Here is a 14,095-nt window from a genome sequence, read left to right on the forward strand (position 1 = left end):
GAATCCTGCTTCTTCCACTTACTGGCTTAGGAATTACTTAAATTCCCTGAGAATCAGCTTATTCATTCATAGAATGGGTTAATATCAACTTAAGGTAACACCATATACCATGGTAATTCCTATTAGGTAAGTAGGTGCTATGGATTGGATATTTGTGACACCCACCCCACCCCACCCAGAATTCATATGTTGAAATTTAAACCCCAATGTGATGGTATTAGGAGGTAGGGCCCTTTGGGAGGTGATTAAGTCATGAGAGCAGAGCCCTCATGAATGGGGTTGGTGCCTTATAAAAGAGGCCCCAGAAAGCTCTAGCCCCCATTCTGCCGTCTAAGGATACAAGAAGTTGGCAGTCTGCAACTCATAAGAGAGCCTGCCATCAGGCCAGGGATGGTGGCTCATGCCTGTAATCCCAAAACTTCGGGAGGCCAAGGCAAGTGGATCAGTTGAGGTCAGGAGTTCGAGACCGGCCTGGCCAACATGCTGAAACCCGTCTCTACTAAAGATACAAAATTAGCTGGTGGCGCATGCCTATAGTCCCAGCTACGTGGGAGTCTGAGGCAGGAGAATCGCTTGAACCTGGGAGGCAGAGGTTGCAGCGAGCCGAGATTGCGGCACTGTACGCCAGCCTGTGCGACAGAGTGAAACTCCATCTCAAAAAACACACACAAAAAAAGAAGAAAGCCTGCATCAGAAGCCAACCATGCTGGCACCCTGATCTTGGACTTCCAGTCTCCAGAACTTTGAGAAATAAATTTCTGCTGTTTATAAGCCACCCAGCCTGTGATACCCTGTTAGGGCAGCCCACTGCCTACAACAGCAGGTAATACTTAATGCCGTGTCCAGCACACAGTTACATGTTCCATAGATGTTCATGTCCTTCTTCCATCCCTAATTCCAGTCCTGTGCTCTGCCTACCCTGGAGTGAGCATGTTGCTGTTTCATTTATTCTGCTCCCTGAATTTGAGATGTCAGAGGTCAGTGCCTTCTTTTTAGCCAGCACTGTAAGAATTTGTAGCCTTTATTTTCACACTGCCCCTCCTCTGAGGCTCTCTAAGGGCTTAGCAGCCTCCAAGGGGGAAATGTAAACAATTTCTATTTTACCAAGAGGGAAGCTGGAACACAATGCAAGATCAGCTGTTTTTCCCAAAAAAAAAAAAAAAAGAAATTTCAAATTTTCTTCCATTCCCATGGTTCATTCCACTGTGTAAACGGCTGTCCTGGAAACCAGCCAAGAGCAGCCAGCAATCGGGGACCATTGCGGGCTCCTGGGGACTGCTGAGCAGGGGCTGGCTGGAGGAAGATTTTCAGTCATCGCATCTTCTGCAACCCTCTCAGACTGCCCCTCCCAAATGATGACACGTTCAGCTCAAGAGTCATTTCATTCTGAAACAATTGCCAAGCACCAGGCGTGCCCAGCCTGTGGATAGGAATGAATGACGTGCTTCCTCTGATCTATGTCTGTCCCTTTGAGAAAACACTCACTGCTAAGTGATGTTAACCTCTTGTATCACCTCCTATTTTTAGCCTCTTGAGTGAGTGATAAATCAGGTTATAATCTGACAGGATGTTTAAAGACATATTAGAATCAAATTAAATGACAGGGCCTCAGACATCATACACACTTTTAAAGAACAGAGCCAGAACACATTATCCCCGCCCAGTTTCAATGCATACCCATTGAAACCTAGTTTTTGTAAAAGGACTTGGCTTATGTCATAAGGTTGACTCTAAGATTAACTATGTCTCCTCCAATTTTAATCAAGCCCCATGTACCCAGCCAGCTCATTCCAAAAGCTGGAGACCGAGATGATTTCTCTGGAATATTATCATTATGCTGTGAGCTCAGACACTGCTGGTAGAAACCATACTCTCATCCATATCTGTAGGGAGCACCTACTTCATGACAGCCACTGCCTGAGGCACTGTGGGGACAGTGGTGAACACAGAAGACATCATTCTTACCCTTGTGGAGCTAGCTTAGTGAGGAGATAGATGTTAAGCAAACAACCCAATAAATAAATGGCTGGGTCACTGGGTTCCACTGCTGAAATTATGCTATTTGGCGTCTGTTTTAGTCTCTCTCTTCATCCATCCCTTATAGCTGTCTTCTATTTGGCTTCATTTTCCATAAGATTCTACATGACTAAGGTGGCCACTTGCAGCTCCTGACTACTGCGGTGCTAATGAATGATGACCCCAGAGCAATGACTGTCCCCAGAGTACCACCAAAGTTTCAAGGAGGAGGCTGACTGGCCCGATTCAGATCACTTGCCCGTTCCTGGACCCATTGTGGAGAACTGCAGAAGAAATAATCCGGCCAGCCCAGGTCGCATGCACACTCTCAAGGTGGGAAGAGGGAGGGGTGGTGTTGGTGCCCCCGGCACCTTATGGCAGAGCAGGATTCCGATGGCACAGGAGAGAGTGGTTTCCCAAATGAAAGGATGGTAGCTAGTGAATGTTTGTCCACAAGTGTTAGAGAGTTGATGTTTAAAGTTGGTCAAGTCAAAGAAGAAAAGAGGCAGCACTGTAAATTGTGGGTTTTTTTGGTGTTTCTTCCACCTCGTCTTGAGTTGTGCAACATGGTAGAAAGAGAGAGGCCTTCAGAACCAGGCAGATGTGGGCCCACATCCTGCCCCCATCACTTCTTAGTGGCTATGTGGCCTTGTGCAAGTCATCTAACCCTCTCTGAGACAGTTCCTTGCTGGTATCATGGCAATAGAAGCTCCGTATGGGAAGATGAAGTGATAGGATTTTTTTTTTTTTTTTGAGTTTTGCTCTGTCACCCAGGCTGGAGTGAAGAGGTGCGATCTCGGCTCACTGCAACCTCCACCCCCCAGGTTCAAGCAATTCTCCTGCCTCAGCCTCCCAAGTAGCTGGGATTATGGGTGCCTGCCACTAAGGCCAGCTAATTTTTGTATTTTTAGTAGAGACGGGATTTCACCATGTTGGCCAGGCTGGTCAAGTGACAGAATTTAAAGAAGTAGGCCAGGCGTGGTGGCTCATGCCTGTAATCCCAGCACTTTGGGAGGCCAAGGCAGGCAGATCACGAGGTCAAGAGATAGAGACCATCCTGGCCAATATGGTGAAACCTTGGCTCTACTAAAAATACAAAAATTAGTTGGGTGTGGTGGCGCACGCCTGTAGTCCCAGCTACTTAGGAGGCTGAGGCAATAGAATCGCTTGAACCTGGGAGGCAAAGGTTGCAGTGAGCAGAGATTGTGCCACTGCACTCCAGCCTGGTGACAGAGCGAGACTCCATCTCAAAAAAAAAAGAATAATAATAAGAAGAAGAATTTAAAGAAGTACCTCATTACTGGGAGCACTGGAGGTACCTACTGGATGGTGGGTATTTAGAAATCTCCCTGGAGTATCATGTCCTGTAACAAGCTTTGTAAATAGTCTCCAGAACTGTGCAGTGGGACGAGTGAGTGATGCTTACAGACAAGAGAAAGAAACAAAATATAAACAAATAAATAAATAAGCACTTCCATATTCTGATAAGTGCTCTGATGGAAATAAACAATGTGACAAGATGATACAGAGTAATAAGGGTGGAGGTCTCCTTAGACAGGTGAGACCAGAAAAGCATCCATGGGAAGATGACCTGTGAACTGAATCCTGAAAGATCAGAAAGGGATTGCTATGCAAAGAATACAGGCAGAGGATTCTAGACAGAGGTAACAGGAAGTGCAAAGACCACAAGGCAGGAAAGGGGTGGGCGTGTTGAAGAAACAGAAGGAAGGCCAGTGGTTTGAATGGTGAGATTAAAGAGGTGGGTAGGAAACAGATCATAGAAGGCCTTCTTCTTTTTTTTTTTTTTTTTTTTTTTTTTGAGACGGAGTCTCGCTCTGTCGCCCAGGCCGGACTGCGGACTGCTGTGGCGCAATCTCGGCTCACTGCAAGCTCCGCTTCCCGGGTTCACGCCATTCTCCTGCCTCAGCCTCCCGAGTAGCTGGGACTACAGGCGCCCGCCGCCGCGCCCGGCTAATTTTTTGTATTTTTAGTAGAGACGGGCTTTCACCTTGTTAGCCAGGATGGTCTCGATCTCCTGACCTCATGATCCACCCGCCTCAGGCTCCCAAAGTGCTGGGATTACAGGCGTGAGCCACCGCGCCCGGCCAGAAGGCCTTCTAAGACACAGTAAGAAGTTTGGGGCCAGGTACCAGGGCTCATACCTGTAATTCCAGCACTTTGGGAGGCTGAGGCGGGAGGATTGCTTGAGCCCAGAGGTCAAGGCTGCAGTGAGCCATGATTGCACCACTGTACTCCAGCCTGAGTGACAGAGTGAGAACCTACCTCAAAAAAAATTAAAGGAAAAAAAAAAGAAATAATTTGGGTTTTACATTGAATTATATATCTGGTTAAAATTCTAATAAGATAATTAAGGTTGTTGGGTACAAAAATAGGTAGATAAGGGCATACGTGGAGACCAGTTAGGAGACCATTGCAATTGTCTAGAGAATAGACAACTGGGGCCCAGCCTAAGGTGATGGTACTGGAGATGGGGAGAAATGAATGGATTAAAGATGTTTTTGGTGCGCCGGGTGCGGTGGCTCACGCGTGTAATCCCAGCACTTTGGGAGGCTGAGGCAAGCTGATCACTTGAGGTCAGGAGTTCAAGGCCAGCCTGGCCAACATGGTGAAATCCCGTTTCTACTAAAAATACAAAAATTAGCAGGGTGTGGTGGTGTGCACCTGTAATCCCAGCTACTCGGGAGGCTGAGGCAGGAGAATCGCTTGAACCCAGGAGATGGAGGTTGCAGTGAGCCGAGATTGTGGCGCTGCACTCTAGCTTGGGTGATAGAGTGAGACTCGGTCTCAAAAAAAAAGATGTATTTTGGTTGTAGGACCAGGAAGAGTCAGAGGTGGATTTGTACATGGGAAAGGAGTGAAAGGGAGGAATTAAAGATAAATCTTGACACTGAGGTATAAACAACTACCTGGGAGTATATGGGGCCATTTATTGAGATGGGGAAGATTTGGGATGAAGGAGATTTAAGATGTTGAGTCTGAGATGCCTATAGGGTCTTAGGTAGTAGTAGGGATTAAGACATCAGTTGGGCAAGTTTGGGTCTCAAGGGAGAGGCCAGGGCTGGGGTACAAATTTGAAGGCATGGGCATGGATGAGATCTCAAGAGACTAGATGAGAAGGGAAGAGGTGCCAGCCTTTAGGCTCACCTATCTGAGCCTCGAGACCCGTAGAAAAGCCAGCAAAAGAAAAGAAGATCTAGGAGGGAAATCAGGAGAGCTGGAGTGATAGAGACCAAGAGAGGAAAATATTTCAAAAAAAGCAAGCATTCAACTCTGGTTTAAGATGTTGAAAGACTAGTGAAATGAGGACAAGGAAATGAACTTTAAATTTAGAAGAAGAAAAAAAATCTACCCTTTACAGTGGTACCCCCAAACTGGACCCTTCTAAAACAAATCTGATCATGTTTCTCCCTTGATTAAAAGATTCAAGCCTGGCACAGTGGCTCAAGCCTGAGGCAGGAGGATTGCTGGAGCCCAGGAGTTCAAGACCAGCCTGAGCAACACAGTGAGACCCTATCTCTTAAGAATTTTTAAAAATTCAGTGGCTCATCACAACTTCTTATTTTATTTTATTTTAATTTATTTTTGAGACCGAATCTCGCACTGTCGTGCAGGCTGGTGTGCAGTGGCGCGATCTCGGCTCACTGCAAGCTCTGCCTCCCAGGTTCACGCTATTCTCCTGCCTCAGCCTCCCGAGTAGCTGGGACTACAGGCACCCACCACCACGCCCAGCTAATTTTTTGTATTTTTAATAGAAACGGGGTTTCACCGTGTTAACCAGGATGGGCATCACAACTTCTTAACAGCTTAATTAACAATTTGGCCTCCATCTGCTGTCATTCCACACCCTACTCTGCCAGCTCTTCCAAAGAGCAGTGACCAGATTCCTCCTGCCTCGCTCGGCACCCTCTCTGTGTCTGTGCTTACGCTGGATCTCTGTCTGCTTGGCCCTTCTCTTGCCCTGGTGGATGTGTACCCCTGACTCAGCTGAGCTGCAACTCCTTAGGTGAAAACTTCCCTGATTCTACCTCCAGACAGTGTTGTTTGAGCCATTCTCTAGGGACTCACAAACCTTCTCCATGGATCTCTGACATAGTATAGTACTTCTCAGGTTCCTTTTATTTTATTTTATTTTATTTTATTTGAGATGGAGTCTAGCTCTGTTGCCCAGGCTGGAGTACAGTAGTGCAATCTCAGCTCATTGCAACCTCTGCCTCCTGGATTCAAGTGATTCTCCTGCCTCAGCCTCCTGAGTAGCTGGGATTACAGGTGCCCACCACCATGCCCAGCTAATTTTTGTATTTTTAATAGAGGCAGGGTTTCACGGTGTTGGCCAAGCTGGTCTTGAACTCCTGACCTCGTGATCCGCCCGCCTTACTCTCCCAAAGTGCTGGAATTACAAGTGTGAGCCACTGCCCCCGGCCTCAGGTTGCATTTTAATCATTTTCATATTCATGTCACCCATCAGACTATGAGCACCTTCACAGTGGGGAGTGTGTTTTATTCATCTTTAGTGCCCAGTACAATACCTAACCCAAAGTAGATACTAAACAGGTATTTGTTGAATAAATTCCCAAAAGACCACTCTTTGAAACAGACATTCTAACCATTATAAAGGAAAAGCAAAGTTAAAATGTATCTTTTGAACTTGAATATACACACAAGTTCCCATCACCCAAAAAATCATCTTAGTGGTTAGAAACATATTAATACCTGTATTATGGGTTGAACTGTATCTCTCCCACCCCACCCCCCAAAATATTGAAGTCCTAACCCCAGTACCTCAAAATGTGATCTTATTTGGAAATAGGGTCTTTACAGATGTAATCAAGTTAAAATGACATCAGTAGAGTGGGCTCTACTTCAATGTGGCTGGTGTTCTTACAAAAAGGGAAAATTTAGACATGGAGACAGACATGGTCAGAGGAAAATCATGTGAAGACCTGGAGTTGTGAAGACAAGGATTGAAGCAACGCATCTACAAGCTAAAGAGTGCCTGAAGCTACCAGAAGCGAGGACAGAGGCATGGAATAGTTCCTTCCCTAGCCCCTTTAGAGGGAACACGGCCCTGTCCGCACCTTAATTTTGGACCTGTGGCCTCCAGAACTGAGACAATGAATTTCTGTTAGTTTAAGCTGCTCAGGTTTTGTTTTGGCAGCCCTAGGAAGCTAACAGACCTCACAACATGACAGAAGCCAAAATATATTTGCTTTGCTTTACCCCTTTGGAACTCTGAAAATTTAATTCTTTTCTTTTTTGGCTGAAAAATTGTTTTTATGCTGAAAAAAATCCAAGAAAACCCAAATAGCACTCTGTGCAATTTTGCCTAACAGAGAATTAAGAAGAATCCCAAAAGATCTCACTTTAATTGGGTTTAAATTAATCTACATTTTACATTTATAATGACATTAAATTAACCAAATGCATTTTTATAATAATAATGCATTCTGAAGGGTGGAAATTGGATTATGTTAATTAGAGTGCTCTATTTTTATTTAGTAAAAGAAAGTTATGCATCTTCTGCTCATTTCATAACTCTGGATGAGCCTCATTATAAAATAAAATAGTCTATTAATTAAAATGTACTCTATGAAAACTGTAGAATTCTGGACGGAAAGCAACAGGATGGAGGTAAGTGGTGAAAATTTCCAGAATCCACAGGGAGGTGACGGAGAAGGTGTCACTAAGTGGTTTTGGCAGTGAAAAAAGAAAAGAAGCTGATATGTTGGGGAGGAATTGGTCAGTCTAACCAGAAAACAAAAGCCACTTTAAGTGTCTTAACAGAGGGAATTTAATCCAGGGAAAATAGACATAATGGAAAAGCTACACATCCAAAGGGATAGTGAGGCAAACCTGAAATTACAGCAGAAGGAACCACTGCTGGCTTCAGGCTAGAGCACTTTCTCAACCTGGGCACTCTTGACATTTCTGCTGGGATAACTGTTTGTTGTGGGCAGTTGTCCTGTGTTTCATCACATGTTTAGCCTTCATCTCTGACCATTATCCACTAAATGCCCCTCCCCAAGTTGTAACAACCAAAAATGGCTCCAGACATTGCTAAACATCCCTTGGGTGTATTTGTGTGCAGCGGCTGGGGGTAAGTAGTAGACAGACATGCTCCCAGCTGAGAGCCACTGAGCTAGAAGGACAAAAGGAGAAGTAATGACCAGAACCCAGGGCCAGGGTCACCCAAGCAAGAAGAGCTGGAACCACGAAGCAGAGAGGTCTGTCCAGTAGAGAAGGGGAGGCCTCAGGCAGAGAGGGGAAGGGACAAACACCCTGGCTTCTCCCTTGTCCCCACGTTCTCCTTCAGGTGGCTGTTGGCTTCCTGCCATACAGAGCAGAGCAAGGGAAAAGAGAGGAGTGGCTCTGAGAACACAGGCCAGGGGCAGCACTTTGCTTCTGAATAAGGACAACAATTTAGATTTCAGATCCAACTCAGACTGGTGCTCCTTCAATTTGCCAGATCCCCAGACAATGGCTGCTTCACACAGGGGTCCCCGGATGACGGCCGCTTCACACAGGGGCCCCCGACTGACGGCTGCATCACCCGGGGCAGACCTACTGTGAAACTAAAGGCGCCTAAACGCCAAGCCCCTTACTTGGGCAGACTCAAGGTCCTTGGAGGGCTCTGGTAATATTTTCCTCATGGCCTCACATTTAGTCAACTTGGCATCACACTTCCCCTCCTGTTGAGTGGGACTGAAGTGGGTGTGGGCATCTGTTTAAAGGAAGGTTGAGTTGGGGATCACACTGCCCTTGGACCTGGGCAGCAGCGGCTCCTGCCCTGAACCCCACACTTAGGAGGGCCTCACCCTGGTTCTCCTCCTGCTATACCCCTCCCTTTAGGTTGAAAAGCCCACAGAGTCCAGGAGATATGCCACCCAAAATGTACACACCCCTCATCCCCAGTTCTTGCCCATACTTTCAGTACCTAAGACCCCAGGATTCTCTGCTCAAAGGCCCTGAGTCTGCCTCCAGGATGTACAGGGTCCTCTCCCCTGAGTCCAGCCTTCCAAGAGTGGACCATGCTGTCAGAGTGCACACCCTTAGACCCAGGAAGTGGCCAAGGCACCGCTCTTTGCTGGAGGTTGTGGATAAAGCTTGGACATTGTAGACTAGGGTATCCACATACATGTGTGAGAGGCTGCTCATAGTATGAAACGGAGTAGGGAGTAAGAAGAGAATTGGGGGTTCAGAAATGAGCAATAAAATCAATAGAAATTATTCTGGGTCAAGCACTATGGTTCGCACCTGCAATCCTAGCAATTTGAGAGGCCAAGGTGGGAAGACCACTTGAGCCCAGGAGTTCAAGGCCAGCCTAGGCAACATAGGGAGATACCATCTCTACAAAAAATGTAAAAATTAGCCAAATGTGGTGAAGTGTACCTGTAGTCCAAGCTACTCTGGAGGTTGAGGTGGAGGAACACCTGAGCCCAGGAGGTCAAGGCTACAGAGAGCCATGATTGTGCCACTGCACTCCAGCCTGGGCAACAGAGCAAGACCCTGTCTCAGAAAAAGGAAAGAAGGAAAGAAAGAAAGAGAGAGAGAGAGAGAGAGAAAGAAAGAAAGAGAGAGAGAGAGGGAGGGAGGGAGGGAGGCAGAGAGAGGGAGACAGAGAGAGAGAAAGGAAGGAAGGAAGGAAGGATGGAAGGAAATTATTCTGACAATGAGAAGCAAACTGTAAGCCAAAATATATTTTTTTTCAAATTATACCCAAAGTATAGTAACTAACTCATTTAGAGGAAGAAAGGACTTTCAAACAAAGAATAGGCTTTTATATTGTTTGATTATCTATTTATTTTTTATCTAACATGAAATACTGATACCATAATCCACCAGTTCAATGGGGTTACCAATGACAAACTGGCTAATGAAGGTCATCAATTCAGAATACTTAAGATCAGTCCCTCTGTGAGAAAACTTGAAATGTACATGAAGTCTTACAGTTCATATATGAAAGAAATTTTCTGTGGAGTTTCCCAAATTTGGCAACAATTTTTTTTTTTTTTTTTTTTTGAGACGGAGTCTCGCTCTGTCGCCCAGGCTGGAGTGCAGTGGCGGGATCTCGGCTCACTGCAAGCTCCGCCTCCCGGGTTCACGCCATTCTCCTGCCTCAGCCTCCCAAGTAGCTGGGACTACAGGCGCCCGCCACTACGCCCAGCTAATTTTTTGTATTTTTAGTAGAGACGGGGTTTCACCGTTTTAGCCGGGATGGTCTCGATCTCCTGACCTCGTGATCCGCCCGCCTCGGCCTCCCAAAGTGCTGGGATTACAGGCGTGAGCCACCGCGCCCGGCCGGCAACAATTTTAAAAATTTACATGACTTACCAATAGCCAGTTCTGAGGCTGAAAATCTTTTCTAATATATAAATATTTTAAAGGAAGAGTATTCAACCATGCTATAGGGAAGACTGAATTCTCTATCTCTAGAAAATGATATTACGAAATCATTGCATGTGAAGAAGCACATGGAGGTATGCAATTACAAAAACAGAAAAGTGTAAAGAGAGTGTTGAGTAGTCCAATAATAAAGATATTATTTTTCTGGATTTTTGTACTATTTGTCAGCTTTTAAAACTTTGTAACATGCTATAATTTCTTTTCCCATTTTAAGTAAAATATTCAATTTCATACTTAATTTTATATTTATAACTTTGCATTCTTTTTCCTAGGGAAGGAGCTCACCTCCCCACAAATTGTATAAACCTTAGTTTCCACAAAACCTGGATCTTCCCTGGCATCATCATTTATTATGTGAGTTGTTTGGGTGTGGAGAGGTGAAGTGAGAGGTGCTTGAGGGCTATGTCTGGGGAAATTTATAGAAAATTATCTGAAAGGGCAGCTTCTGCTGACCCATAAGATGTCAAGATGTATTATTTTGAGGTAAACATGTCAGCAACTGGTACTTCTCGGATGCCTTTTCAGATGACTGAATTCTCTCCTCATTTCTCCTTGTTTTTGTTGTGTAGTCATGGTGGCAGCTGATAAGAGGTGAGATAATGGGGCCAGGGACAGATACCTTAGCTGTCACCTCACAGTCTCCCACACCATAGAGAGCAAAGAAAGACAATGGTAAAAAAAAAAAAAAAATCCCACCCAGGAGCCCCCCGGAACACGCCACTCATCCTGACAAAGAGCTGGTTTCCAACTGGGACAGATCCCAGAAGCAGACCAAGCTGGGGTGTGGGCCCCAGGGCAGTAGGAGCCAAACCAACTTGTTTCCTCTGTGAGGCTACAGGCTGCAGAGCCAGGACTATTCTTCTCATGGAACAAAGCACAGGGATTAATTTGCAGGATGAAATTTATTATGTCTTTTACAGTAAAGACATTTTGCCCTGAAGCTTATTAGGTTTCTGAGTGCTCACATTTTCTGAAAAATAGCCACTGCAATTTGCAGATTTAATTCCAACCTAAGTTGGTGTGGTTCAGGGATGTGTCCAAGACAGGCTACCCGGGGCAATGCTGCGCATCCATTTCCCAGCAAAGCTTCTTTGATTTCTGAAAGACTTTACCATTAAATATAGTGAGTTGAACACAGGCTTTATCTCTTCTCTCTTCTGAAATCTCAATCACATGACTGTAAAATAACAAAATCGGTGTGAAGTAGGTATAAATCCACGCAGAAAAAAAGAATGAGAGGAAGATAACAGCAGACTAGAGATTCAACAGAATTCTGGAAGCTGGAATCCTGAGAAGTGGGACTTGCAGGGCAGAGAAAACTGGATCAGAAATACTCACCCTGCCCCTGCCACATTAGGCCAGAACAGAACACCTTTCACAAAGTAATTTTCAATGTATATGTTATGAGATTATTTTCTAAGATGGATCACTTATGATTATAAAACAAAGAACTTTCCTTTACTAAATAGGAGGAGCTAATCAGGAGCAAGTTCATTGTTATTCTATGTCTGCTCTCCAATCCCTGGCCAAGAAATTCTCTTTCTGGAGAGGGTGAGCCCGCAAATCCCTGACTCAGGAGGACTTGGGTGAGATGTCACAGTGCAAACAGAGGTAAAGGTGGAGTTGGCTCTATCTGAAACACAGACTGAAGAAGAGAAGAGTGGTTTCCCCAGAGGAAAAGAAGAAAAGTGGGGTAAAAATAATAATAATGTGGACAGGAAGCAAGGAAATACTGGGTAGAAGAGGGTGGTTCCCTGGCAAGGGCCCCACTCTCAAGCCTGGAAACCCACGGGAACAGGCATTCTTGTTTTTGTGCCCAAATGTTGCCTTTTGGCCTGCCACGCCCCCTATCTTGTACTCATATAAACCCCAAACTCCAGGTTCCACAAGCAGATGAGAAAACAGAAGAGCAGCAGAGTGGTGCAACAGAGAAGGAGAGAAGAGAAGGAGCATCTGAACATCAAGAGGAGTTCAGCTGGGGACAGTTGGTTGGGAGATCAGCTACAGGACAGCCAAACTCCAGGGGAAGATGATCTTCCCACTCCATCCCCTTTCTGGCTCCTCATCCATTCTGCTGAGAGCCACCTCCAGCTCTCAATAAAACCCCCACATTCACCAGCCTTCAAGTCTGTGTGTGATCTGATTCTTCCTGGATGCTGGAAAAGGACCTGGGTACCAGAAGGACAGGGTGTAAAAGGCTGTCACCCTGACTCTCTACTGAGCTGGTGTAGCAATTAGCTGTCCACAGATGACAGCTACTAAAAGGGCATAAATTGTAACACCTTCTTAGATGCCACCATGGGGCCAGAGCCCAAAAGTGCTCACCCCAGCTCCTGCATCTGCCCATCTGTGTGCTCCCCCTCCTGTAAGGTGTTTGAGTGCATGGTGGTCGAACATTTGAGCCATACTCCTGCTGCATGTCCTGCCGGGGGGTCAGGGAACTCTCCCATTTCAATAAGAGTTTATATATAAACCTGTACCAAATAGTGTTTAAAACACTTTCTATACACTAATTCAGTTAATTCTTACACGACTGTGTGCTGGAGGTGCAAATATCACTTAATTTTACATTTCATGAGACTGAGACACAGAGAAAGTAAATTCCCCAAGGTCACACTGCTGGTAAGTAGCAGAGCCAGGAGATGAACCCAGACAGTCTGGGGAAAATGGTTCCTGGGTGACAAAAACACAAAAGTTCTGCCATAGTTAATTTTGCGGATGGTACAATTTTACCCGGTTTCCCATAATTAGAAAATGGGACGAGGAAATGCCATAAGGTTAAGCTCGTTCCTCTGAGCAGATTCTTTTCTGCAGCAGCAGGTCCCCCTATAAATATGGGTCTGTGATAATCTGAGTAATGGCCCCCAAAAGATGTCTGTGTCTCAGTCCCTGGAACCTGTTACTTTACATGGTCAAAGAGACTCTGCGGATGTGATTAAATGAAGGATCTTGAGATGGGGAGATGAGCCTGGATGGGTTCTCCAGTCCTCACAGGAGACCCCACACCCCTTTCCACTTCCAGACCACGAGGGGAGGGGCTCACAGACTAGAAAGCCCTCTGCAAATGCTACCCTGAGCCCATATCACTATTGCAATCACTGGTAAGAATCTGGGGACAAAGGTGAGTGGGATCTCAGACAGATATCTCTCCAAGTTGGGATATAACTGAAATCGGCACTGATTACACCTGACATTGGATACCCATATAACCAATGGTTTATGATCACAGAACAGCAAACTCTCCCATCAAAATCAGGGTAAATATACCAAGATATTTGTAGAATTCAAACACCAATCTAACTTGATTTCATTCAGGAAACACAATGTCTAGAGTGTTAAAGACTTTGCTGTGGTTTCAAGGAAAGAATCATGAATAAAGTCTGGCTCAGCCATGTCTATAAAAAGGATTAAACTTTATGAGTCATGGATGAGAGCTGGTGTGTGATCAACAGCCCACCTGTTCTCTTGGTGTAAATCATGTCTTTTCATTTTTAAGCTACTTTTATATTGTAAATCTATAATTCTAAAATGACCTTTATAGCTGGAGGATTAGAGAGGAACCCTATTGTTCTGGAATGGGCCACCAGAGACTTGAGCAGATGGGAGAAGCAAATAATATAAGCCAGGAAGGGCACCAAGAGAGTCATTTGTCTTAGGG

At 45.3% G+C, this 14,095-nt stretch overlaps 1 annotated feature.

Annotated features, from left to right (window-relative positions):
* Positions 1,299 to 1,348: a silencer, noted in NCBI's record as "silent region_4735". NCBI's record gives its function as "represses an Ori minimal core promoter by ATAC-STARR-seq in GM12878 lymphoblastoid cells {active_cell/tissue: GM12878}" and the evidence as "EXISTENCE:reporter gene assay evidence [ECO:0000049][PMID:35858748]".

The sequence above is a fragment of the Homo sapiens genome, chromosome 12 (assembly GCF_000001405.40).
Source record: "Homo sapiens chromosome 12, GRCh38.p14 Primary Assembly".
NCBI classification, from domain to species: Eukaryota; Metazoa; Chordata; class Mammalia; order Primates; family Hominidae; genus Homo; species Homo sapiens.